Genomic DNA, 12,380 nt, shown 5'->3' with positions numbered 1-12,380 from the left:
AAAAAAAAAAAAAGTCCAGTGATGGAGGGGTATGTAAAGTGAAGCTGAAACTGGCTGAAGTAAATAACCACAACTGGAATATCCTAGTTCTGAATGTCAATCCTAAAGGGTTCTGACTAGAAGAACTAGGATGCAACTAGGCCAATTAGGATTGAGTTTGGAAATTAAGAAAATCGAAGAATGGCTGAAATAGTTGGTGAATAACCTAGAGCAATGGCTTTTATATTGTCGTTTGCACAACTGTGGATGCTCTAAGACCCTTTTATGGGGTCCATAAGGTCAAAATTATTTTCAAAGTAATAACAAATTATTGCCTTTTCCACTGTGTTGACGTTTGCACCAATGTCACAAAAGCCATAGTGGGTAAAAATACTGACTCTTCAACACAAATCAAGGTAGGGGCTATTGAACTGCCCTAGGAGTCACTCACTATCTTCTTCACTGGCATTTCTGTATGCACTTGCAGTAAAAGAAAAAAATAATGCCACTTTTATAAAGATGTCTTTGATGAAGCAGTAAAGTTAATTTTATTAAATCCCCCTTCAGTACTATTAATATAGTAGCAGAATTAAATCTAGTCTCTTGAGTAATATTCTGTGTGATGAAATGGAAAGTATGCATAAATCACTTCTGATGCTTATGAAGTATAATGGCTGTATTAAGGAAGACACCTGTGTTGAGTTATGAGCTGAACTAACTGCTTTTTCATTATCACCTTTGAGAATCTAGAAACTATGATTAATTAGACTTGGGTATTTGGCAGACAATTTTTTGAAAAATAAATGAAGTCTATTATATAAGGAAAATAGATGAATCTGTTGCCAATGATAAAAATCTGAGAAAATTAAATTTTGGAAAATGACTCCATTGTTGTGAGCATGCCAGATTCCTAGTACTTGCATTTTACTGATCTGATCTAAGGTGATATTACCAGATGTCACTTTTTGACACTAGATAACAAATACAAGTCAGTATTTGGAAACTTGTATAATTCAATGAATCAATTATTTTTCATTTTGTTGCTCTAGTTCCAATGCTTTCCTACCACCTCTGAATTTTTGGGGGTTTTAAAGCATAAATCATCTATTTCGTCTGTCGCTTTTCTTACTTTTTACATGTGTGAACAGTCATTCACACATTCTAACAGCAGAGGTTACTAAAACACTTTAACCAGAGGATAACAGATTAACAGCAAATTAAAAAAGATGTGACATATATAAATTATCTTTGTCTAAGGTATAATTGACTAAAAAGCAATCTAACCTGTGTCTAGAAGATGAGGGAGTCCTCCTCCTCCTAGAACGTGATCTTGATCTTGAATGCCTTCTTTTTTCTTCTTTCTTATCTATATTTAAAAGAAAAGGAACCTGCATTTAGAAGTTATTAAATAGGGGCCAGACGCAGTGGCTCATGCCTGTAATCACAGCACTATGAGAGGCTGAAGTGGGAGCAACACTTCAGTCCAGGAGTTCAAGACCAGCCTGGGCAATATAGTGAGGCCTCATCTCTACAAAAAATACAAAAATTAGCTGGGCATGGCGGTGTGTGCCTGTGGTCCCAGGTACTTGGGGAGGCTGAGCTGGGAGGATTGCTTGAGCCTGGAGATGGACGGTGCAGTGAGCTGTGATTGCACCACTGCACTCCAGCCTCGGCAACAGAGTGAGACCCCTCAAAAACAAAAACAAGCAAACAAAAAAACACATCAAATAGGAAGATTATTCCCTTTCAGAAGTTATTCTAATAATTTTTCACCTTAGTTTTCAGCTTTTACATACAACCCTTGAATGTCACAAGTAACCATTTTATAATCACGATTTTGAAGCTTACTGAAATACTATAAATTGCAAATCATCCAAGCTTTTGGTAGATCCAAATTAGACTTCTAATTCTCAGCTAGCTAAAGGTTCCTTTGCCTATTTTACTTGCCAGACTTAAGAGGCTGTGAAGTGTTTTCTGTAAAGCAGTCTATAAAGAGGGTAAATTTCTCATTCTCTGGCTCTGATTTACTCTTGACAAGGTTCTAAATGAGGGGTCCCCTTTCCTTTCCTTGATTCTTCACAGACTCAATATTTGGCCCCCAAATGCAGAAAGTCATGATTCACTCACTGATTTTAGTCCACTTCTGTGACAGAATCAGATTTTAGTAAGCTAGCTCGCTTCCTATTATCTGCTCATCACTCCTCTTCCCTACCAATTTTCAATTGTGTAAATATAGAAAGGAAATCTAGAACTACACATAAGAAATTCCTTAACTGGGGACATAACAAGAGAAATAAAGTCATTGTATTCTACATTCACTGACTATCATCAAAGTGAGATTGAGTTTCTTTTACATTTAAGTCATTTCATTAATAGGGTTCAATTTATTGTGAATGTCATTATAATAAATTCATAAAAATATTGGTAAAAACATCAGTTCATAAAGAAACTACATTCAGTCACTTTAATCATATATTTTCAATATAAACAGCAGTTAGAACACGGTGTGTCATAAACTTTACATACACCCGGCTGTGCTATCTAAAAGTTCCTACTGCTTGCCATGTAACTGTGGCTAATTATTTGACATTTTCCTGGTTAAATAACATAATACATATAAAGCATTTGGTATCAGTTTATCCACTATTATACTTTAAAATTATTTTCCTAACAATAGGCACATTAAAAAACATTCCCATTTATTAATGAACAAGATATTTATAAGAAAGAAAATCCAGGGCCATAGATCTAAATATATATGGGCAGATAATATGATATCTATTCATTTACTCTCAAAAAGACAATCTGCAAAGAAGACAACTAATTTTCTTTAAAGAAATATCATTTTAAACAGAAGCATTTTCACTAGGTTCTCTTGATCAATGAAAAAAATTAAAATTAGGCTATCCCAACTTAGAAAAACATAAATAATAAGAAAAACAAAATATCGTTTCAAGTATTAGATAATCCTACTGACATTTTGGACTAGATTAACCACTGCTGTGGAAGGCTGTGCTGTTTGTTGCAGGATATCTAGCAACATGTTGGTCCTTTGCCCTCTAGATGCAGTTGGTACTCCTGTGACCACCAGAATTGTCTCCAAATACGTCTGAGTGGCACTCCACTATACAATCTTTTATCAGAGTTTACAACATTTTAAACGACTAGGGTGTCACTCAACACAATTCCACATTTATGTCAAAATCATTTTTGCTAAGAATCACACAACAAAATTGCATAAACATTGTTTACCTGGTTCTATAGCAGCAGAAATTAGGGACTGTGCTTCTCGTACTCTTTTCATAGCTTCCTCTATTTCTTTACTAGAGGTATCCGATTTCAGACTTGGTGAAACGAGACCAGCAGCTACATGATTCAACCTGAAACAGAACCAAGAAATGGGATCTGAAATATTTTAAAATGCACACGAGCATTTCAAATAAATACTTAAGTATATAACATTATTTTAGCAAAATATTCCTTCAAAAAAAGGGAGGGGAGGACTCCATGATAACTTTGGTAAACAACATATAGCATAGCACTGTTTTGAATATTTACAAGTATTTGTTTTAATGACTAAGAGTCATCTGGAATTAGAAAAATACCTATTTTGCTGAACATCCATTAACTTTCCATAAACAAACACATTTTTAGAAATGCCAGTACAAGAAAATATGCTGATGCTAAGAACTTTTATTCATATAAATTAAAAATTTTTGGGCCGGTGTGGTGGCTCACGCCTGTAATCCCAGCCCCTTGGGAGGCCAAGGCAGGTGGATCACGAGGTCAGGAGATCGAGATCATACTGGCTAACACGGTGAAATCCCATCTCTACTCAAAATACAAAAAACTAGCCAGGCATGGTGGCAGGCGCCTGTAGTCCCAGCTATTCGGGAGGCTGAGACAGCAGAATTGCTTGAACCCGGGAGGCAGACATCGCGCCACTGCACTCCAGCCTGGGCGACAGAGTGAGATTTCGTCTCAAAAAAAAAAAAAAAAAAAAAAAAAAAAATTTATGACATAGTAATTTTTTGGGGAAGAGCATTACCTTTTACTTTGTAGGTGGGGAGGAACTGAGGCAGAGGCCAAAGGCCTACCAAAATTACACATGAAGTCTTGAGTGGAAAGGCTAAAGATGCCCCTTACAGGTTTACACATGTAAAAAAAAAATTGTAGGCCGGGCATGGTGGCTCATGCCTGTAAGCCCAGCACTTTGGGAAGCCTTGGCGGGTGGATCATGAGGTCAGGAGATTGAGGCCATCCTGGCTAACACGGTGAAACCCCGTCTCTACTAAAAGTACAAAAAATTAGCCGGATGTGGTGGCTTGTGCCCATAGTCCCAGCTACTTGGGAGGCTAAGGCAAAAGAATTGCTTGAATCTGGGAGGCGGAGGTTGCAGTGAGCTGAGTTTGCGCCACTGCACTCCAGGTTGGGCAACAGAGTGAGACTCGTCTCAAAAAAAAAAAAAAAAAGAAAAAGAAAGAAGAAAGAAAAAAAAATTATAGACAACAAATTTAGTAGTTATTTGTGGGCAGAACAGGAAATGTAATAAATAATGGGTATATAGGAAGCTTCAACTGTATTGGTATTATTTTATTTTATAAGCTGGGTGATGGGTACATGCTTGGTTTTATTTTTAGATAATTTCTAAGAAAAAAGTCCACTAACTACTGAAGTCCAACGATTCTGTCCTTTTCATGCTCTCTCACTTACTGATAGTGACTTTCACCAAGTTAAGGGGAAAAGGTATAAAGTTCAAATTTATTATGCCAACAAATAACCAGTGAAAAAAACTGATGAATCTGTCACATCATCAAGTCGGAAACAATTTCTGTGACAGCATGAAGAGCACTTATCAAAAGCACCTAAAATAAAATGTTGGCTATTAATTATATAATATGTAATACTACTTTGCTCTGGGATAGTGATTCCCTCAGCTTTGCCTCTAACTCCTACTATCCTCAGGACTCAGCCTCTGATCTTCAAACGAAGTTGTCCCTTATTAGCTCTTTTGCTATCATCCAGGTATAAGTCATTTACAATTACTATTCAAGACTCAAATGACACTGAAACAAAATAGTTTAGAGGACCTTACTTACTTCTGTATTTCTCTCCTTGTTTCTAGGTAACAATACATATTGCTTGTCTTGAGAAAAGATAACTTGATAACTTTCTTATAAGCTATCAAAAAAACTCTAATTCTGTAGACATTCAGATACCACATCACCAATGAAAACAAAGAAAAAACGCTTACTTGGGATCAACAGTACTCATAAGCTTCAGCAACTGATCTGCAGCAAGAGACTGTAAAAATAAAACATAAGAATAATGAGAATACATAAAACAATAAATGACCGATATTTTCTAGGCAGAAAACTGAACAACAGAAATCCATGCAGACTACATGCCATGAAACATAAATTTTTTAGTAGCCACATTAAAAAAGAAAAAACAAAAACAAAAAACAAAACAAAACAAAACAAAAACCGGTGACATCAGTAGCTACAGTATTGGATAGAGCAGCTTTAGCAAGTTATCTAAAGATTATGAGGCTGAACAGTCTAGGTATTATAGAATTATGTCTCCTTTAAGACTTTTTGACATAAAGAAACATGTAAAACTCAAAACACCTTAGCCAATATAATGCAAAAGACCTCTACAAAGAACTTCAGAAAAAAAGGTTAGCTAAATTAAAATAAAAGAAAAATTTCCATGATAGAAAAATTATAAACCACATTCTTATCTTTTCATGACTATTTACTCTGACTCTATGACACACTGATAATGTACTGGCTTCTTGTGAATCTATTTTCTATTTTGAACTATATAAAAGAAATCCATTAATGGATAAAGGAGTTAGTCATTCAGTGACTGTTTAAAGCTCTGACAAGTTTAAACAAGAAAAAAAATTACTACAACATAGCCATTAGCTTCTGCTCTTGAAATGCAAACCAACAGTTAATGAAACAGATCTTCTGTAAAAATGGGTGAAAAATTTGAAGTTACTAAGGTATACCTGAGAGTTCAAGTTTGCTCCAGGAAGCCCAAGTGCAGCAAGGGCAGGATCAAGAGTAGGAGCCCCCAAAGCAGCCAGTGGAACAGCGCCAATCTGTGAAATGGCAAATTTTATTTATTTAAAACTTCATTTCAGTTCCTTATACCAGGGGTTAATACTTTTTTAATGTAAAGGGTCAGATAACAACTTGAGTTTTCAGGCTACATGGTCTCCGTACAACTCCTCAGTTGTACACAAACCATATAACTACTGCCATCATAGCTTGAAAGCAGCCAGAGACGATACCTAAACAAATGGCTGTGGTCCAATAACAATCTATTAACAGAAATAGGAGTCTTGCTCTATATGACACCCATGTTCCACCCATTACAACACATTTCCCCCCTAAATCCTAGATTAAGAAAAAAAGACAAAATATTTCAACATATTCTTGTGCTGATTTTAATTATTTATTGCTTCTCAGGATCCAAATCTACTATTCTTTGCCCTGCTGTTTTGTGCTACCGGAGGCAGGACCTTTACAAAGCATTTCTCCTTTGACAGTTGCCATGATATAAGACTTCATTTGGAAAGAGTGCTGGAAGGACACTGACTAAGAAAGGGGCTCTTCCTGGTTGCTGTGTCCCCTTTCTGATTATTCCTGCAGCACCATGTCAAACACCCAGTAGCCCTCGCCTCTCAGTAAGTTTTAATACCAACTCCTTATGCAGCTCCCCAGGGCACCCAAGAGAACTTATTTACTAGTCACCCTTCCAAAAACAAATCTAAGTTTCAGCATAGATGGGGAAAGAGGAGTCCCCTGAACTAAATGGGTGTTCCTTCTGCTTCAGCCTCAGAGGTAGTGGTTGTTTCTTATACTTGTGATTCCTGTATTCATTAGAGTTCCCCTAGTAATCTCCTATAACTAGTTAGTAATTCCTTAAATGTTCCCTGTTCAAATCACTGCAGGGTTCTGCCACCTGCTTGACACCAATTCTGATTAATCCATAATGTAATAGACACAAACCATGAAAGTGAGGCTACTTTAAAACCATCTGTAGCTTTTGAAACAGCCTCACTTTCTCCACCTGTGCTACAAGTTCTCCTTGTTTCAATTTATTTAGTAAACACAAACTATCAAACTTTCTATAATTTAACTGTTTATTCGTAACAGGCAAAATGCTGTGTTAATACTATTTTAACTTACTGTCCAACATAGCTATTGCATAGCTTTATACATTAAAGGAATTTAGAAAATTACCCAGATCTGGACTGGGCGCGGTGGCTCACGCCTGTAATCCCAGCACTTTGGGAGGCCAAGGTGGGCAGATCACTTGAGGCCAAGAGTTCAAGACCAGCCTGGCCAACATGGTGAAACCCCATCCCTACTAAAAATACAAAAATTAGTCAGGCATGGTGGCATGCCTGTAGTCCTAGCTATTCGGGAGGCTGGGGCAGAATCGCTTGAACCAGGGAGGTGGAGACTGCGGTGAGCCGAGACTGTGCTATTGCACTCCGGCCTGGGTGACAGGGCGAGACTCTGTCCATCTCAAAAAAACAAAAACAAACAAAACAAAAAACAAACAAAAAAAAACAAAACAAAACAGAACAAAGAATAAAGAAAATTACTCAGATCCTCATTTTATAGGTTAAAAGAAATAACCTAGGAGTTAAGTGATAAAAGTCACACCTAAAAAGCTTAGGAACTCCTAATCTTTCATTCTATAGTGCACTTCACAGTTAAGAGTCAATTAGTCAATTATTTAGACAGGCAAAATGATACACTAGAAAGAATGCTTTTATAAATTTCCAGTTGAGGCTCATTCACTACAATCTTTGAAACTACTGACCAGTTACAATCTCAGTAATTAGAATACACAGTATTTAAAGTGCCTTTTAGTTCTAAAATAAGCTTCGTACAGCACTGTCAGTGTTAGAAACACTATTGCAACCAATTTTCTTTCACATTCCCATATCAAACATCTCCATCAAGAATTGCCTTTGTTTTCAAGCCACCTATGTAATTCAAAACCCCCCAAATAACAGGAAAAGATAAAGGGGAAGGAAAAAAAAATGAAGGGCTCACTTGTGAAATTTTAACTTCAGTTTTCTTTCCTGGTCCAAATGAATATATTTTTAACAGTGTGTTCAGAGAAGTGTTCATGCCTCAGGAGACTGTTCCAAAACTACTCATGGGTTATTTTGAGAGCCAATGGTAAAAGTGACAGAACAGATATTTTATGATTTTTCAGAATGTTCTTAAAATACAAAAGTCTAAGAGATCTTCTATACTATTTGTGATTTTGATATAGACATGTGATAATGCTATCTGAACTAGAATCTTATGAGTACTTACAAAGTTCAAATATGTTTAGCTTTATGCACAATTCTGTTTTTTTCCCCACCCTTTAAGAATTCAATAGAACTAGTACCTGGGTAAGTGGGTTAGGAGTAGGCAGGAGTCCACCACCAGGCAGAAGACCTGCCACTGCATTAGCTGGTGCCAACAGAGACAAAGCTTTAGCTTCATCAGGAATAACTCCTGCAGAGAAACATCCTTGCATTAGAACACATTCTTTTCTAAGACAGAAAACACACAAAAACACCCAGAAAATGTCTCCCTGATACACCACCTGAGTTTGTTGAAAGTACTTATGTTCGCTAAAATACAAAGCTTGATTTCTATGATTATTTATCATTAATTTTATGTCAGAATGAACTTCAATGTGTGAAAATTTGTTTCCTTTTTCTCTACAAATGGTTAAGTTTCTAGAGTAAAAAAAAATAGCACAATACACACTACTTTTTTGTTAACACTGCCAAGATTTCATCACCTGTACTCGATTTTTAAGTCATGAACCAAACGTAAGCAAGCACAGTCGGTTCTCCAGGGGTGTGCTCTCAACTTTCAAAAGCTGTTTTATGAACAACGACTCGTGTCGGCTGCTTCACTATAAAGCACACAGAAAAATCAAGATACACAAGACAAAAAAAGTTTGATTTAGGGGTTAATAATATGGTACAGTTACTATGATTTTCTTTTACACCTACCATACAAATTTTGTAAAAATTAAGAGAAGAAAGTATGTAAAGGAAATATTCTGTTGGAATCAAGCGTAGGGCTTTTGCTGACTCATGAAAATGAATATGAATGTTTCTGAAGGTCTCTGAATACACACAGGATGTGTGCATGGGAGTGAGAGAGAAAGAGAGATAGGTAAAACAACATGGCACATTCCTTACCTGTACAGTAAAATGCTTTATGTTTCGCCATGTGCCATGCTAACCATACCAAAAAATGCTGCCATACAGTGCCAGTTGAAAAGCTAACTTAGCCAAACTCCTTAAGCCAAAAATGACATATATATCTGTTTTTAAAGCCTAATCTGTGTATTCAGATAAAATCTAAGGGTCCTAAAACAAATATTTATGTAGACAATTTAAATTCTATCCAACAGCAAAAGCCCTATACAGATGGATTAATCTGTTAATGTGCCCAAGCCCCCAAAATGAGAGTTCAATAATACAATTAAACTACATATTTGCAAATACCAGTAGTATTTCTGTAATACATATTAAGAAACTGCATCTCATCATAAAACATACAATATGTACAGGGCACTTAAGAGAAACTGGATAAGCTGCAGAAGAAAACTGTTGGGTGGTATTTTCAGCAGGGCCTGGTATATAGTTCAGGCTGAACCAGGGAAAAGAACTGTAAAACACAACAACAAAAAAGAAAAACCACTGTTAAATAAAGGTAATGGTTCCTTCCACCTATACTGAGAAGTGCCGATAATATAAACAAATGTATACTACACAGCACTGTTATCTTGCTTGTGTCAGAGCTGTCATCAATTTAGATACCAAGAGTTATGGAGGGGAAGGGGGAGAAGATCATTTAGATATAGGGCAGTAATGCATCAATATTAACAAACCTACAAAGATTATGGGATAATTTTGCATGCAAAATTATGTCTCAAGAGGATATATTCAGTATCAACATCTTACTCAAATTAGTGCATTTGCAACATTTCTGGCAAACTAAAATCCTCTTGAATTTATTGTGAGACACCTGATAGAAGATCTGCATCCATTAAAAAAAAAAAAGTCATGCATCTGATCCTCTGATTAAAAAAAGACTATTTAAAAATAAAACTACAATTTAAAAATAGCAATGAGGCCCCTCACCAGTTAATTTTCATGCGTCAAGAGTATTTTTTTTACTGCTGCTTTGATAGAACCATGAAATACTGCATGAATGTGTAGAAATGAAAGAAAAAGAAACAGACAAAAGAAACAAACATTAACCAAGGAACCTAAAAAATCCCCAAATCCATTACTATTAAGAGTTCCTTCCAAATTCAGCTATCTTAGTTTTACCAATTAAGACTATTCCTTACCGTAGACTATGTCTACTGTTCTAAAACACTGACCAAGAGCTAACACCGAAGTGTAATAGCTAAATCTGGAGGGAATTGTATTTACTGGAGGTAACATTAATACAGCATATCATACCAGAATTAAATTCACCAACAATAGAATTCTGAATGAAATATTCCCCTAATTCTATATACTGTATATTCCTAAATACTTCACTTCCAAAAATAGGTCTAGAAAAATTACTATGGCCTGAAAATATTTATGAAAGTCATTTATATGATATACTGTATTATGTTCAGGGATTGGGAACTATAATACTTAGCCAATAAAAAATTTAAATTTACAGGCTAACCAAAATGTTTTACATATTACTCACATGATTTGACCCTTGTTCCAAGACCTATACTCTATTTTATTCATCCTGAATTTGAATTCTGTAAATTTTCTGTTGATGGTCTTATCCTACAACAGGCACACTGACATAAAAGAAATTGCTTAACCAAAACACACTAACTCAAAAATTTATCTATCTATACATTACAAAACCTTAAAACTGGGCTCATACACTTTAATATCATGGAGACAGAGGTACTATTACATAACATGTCTTAACCCATTTATAAATATAAGTTAATTTCTTTAGAAAACCAGAGGCAACTTCTCTGTTAAGGACTAGACATTTCACAACTTTTACAAGGTATGGTGTAAATGCTCACATTTGTTTTCAAAGATTTCAGATAGCATCTAAAATGAACAATATTAAGATTCCACTTCCACTGACCAGTTTATTAAGGAAAGGGGAAAGCATTTAAATCCTGGTCAGCATATTAAATTATTAACTTAAAATCCAGCAGTTTTATCATATTTCAGTGATTCGAGTAAAATTTATAGTTACCAAAATGCAAATCAAGTAGCAGTACATTGGGAACAAACTAATTATAAAATACGCCTTAGAAAATTTTACAAAATGGTATTAAAATTTCTTGTCACAGTGGCTTTTTAGATCCAAAAAACCTGCTCATTTTTTTCTGTCAAATTACTTTAACAGCCTAAAATGTAAAAAGAGAGAAAATGTAGTTAACAAATGGTTACACCAGGAAAACACTTGGGGCACTTGAGTGCTTGCTGGCCTTTAGTTAATGTCTAGAATCCCCTGTAGCTGCAGAGGACCCACTGTTTTTCAGGCATCTGGAAGGGTTTTGCATTTGCCTTCTCCACTATAAAAATCACACACACAAATAACAGAGAGAAGAATTTATTATTTAGAGATATTCTAGAAATATAGCAAGAATGAACAAGAAAATCTGGCATAAAATAAAACACCCAGTGCCCATTTGGCACCTAAGCTACAGGAAATCTTGAACTTTCACGAAAACCAAAATCACTGCAACCCTTGGTATACTGAAATTCAATGTGTTTTTTTTTTTTCCAGATTATCAATGTGAGGAAGCTTTAAGAAAATAAAATCAACCTACTCATTTATTTAAAACAGAAATAACATCATGCATTTATTTGAAGGCTCTGTAAGCATACATGGAGTGAATCATTTACCTTCAGGGCTTTTTCATAAAACTTAACATTAAATTAACTAAGTAGATGTATCTCAGGGAGTTACAATAAGGGACATGGTTTTAAACAACTTAAAAATGTTTTAAAAGAAAACAAAAGGTAAATACCTTATAATAACAGACCTAATTTCTAATTTTTAGAATTAAAAAAAATCTGCAAGCAAAAATTACGGACTGCAGTATAACAAGGGTTTAAAAATGTTAATAGCTTAGATTTAACATGCTACTAATGCTCACTCTACATCTACTGAGGTAGATGGTCATCTTAGGATGCCCACATAGGTAGTTAAACAAAGCACAAACCTTCTGCATATGGTACGACTATCAAAGCTCTGTCAACGAATACAGTGTTTGTCAGATGCTGTGCCACAACTGCTGAGTCTGGATCATGGAACTTAACAAAGCAGACACGAGATGAGACTGGCAAAGGCGAATCACTAAAAAATAAACAAATA

The 12,380-nt window shown here is 35.4% G+C and overlaps 1 protein-coding gene across 32 annotated transcripts in view; it reads right to left on the bottom strand.

The window, feature by feature from the left end:
* Positions 1–12,380, bottom strand: part of SRSF11 (serine and arginine rich splicing factor 11) — a 47,357-nt gene that overhangs the window by 12,269 nt on the left and 22,708 nt on the right. For 24 of the 32 annotated variants that reach the window (NR_146810.2, XM_047434514.1, XM_047434518.1 and 21 more), the window contains 6 exons: positions 12,229–12,362; positions 8,407–8,516; positions 5,996–6,088; positions 5,234–5,283; positions 3,232–3,359; positions 1,264–1,345 (listed from right to left, as the gene is read on the bottom strand). Coding sequence is in view for 31 of the 32 variants with exons in the window: in XM_047434514.1 (XP_047290470.1) it covers positions 1,264–1,345; positions 3,232–3,359; positions 5,234–5,283; positions 5,996–6,088; positions 8,407–8,516; positions 12,229–12,362 (597 nt within the window). In the remaining variant the exon portion in view is untranslated. Of the gene's footprint in view, positions 1–1,263; positions 1,346–3,231; positions 3,360–5,233; positions 5,284–5,995; positions 6,089–8,406; positions 10,072–12,228; positions 12,363–12,380 lie in introns of those variants that run through there. The other 8 variants (NM_001350610.2, NM_001350611.2, NM_001350613.2 and 5 more) reach the window with 4 other exon arrangements.

This window comes from Homo sapiens, chromosome 1, assembly GCF_000001405.40.
Source record: "Homo sapiens chromosome 1, GRCh38.p14 Primary Assembly".
NCBI classification, from domain to species: domain Eukaryota; kingdom Metazoa; phylum Chordata; class Mammalia; order Primates; family Hominidae; genus Homo; species Homo sapiens.
This window is presented reverse-complemented; position numbering and strand designations above follow the sequence as displayed.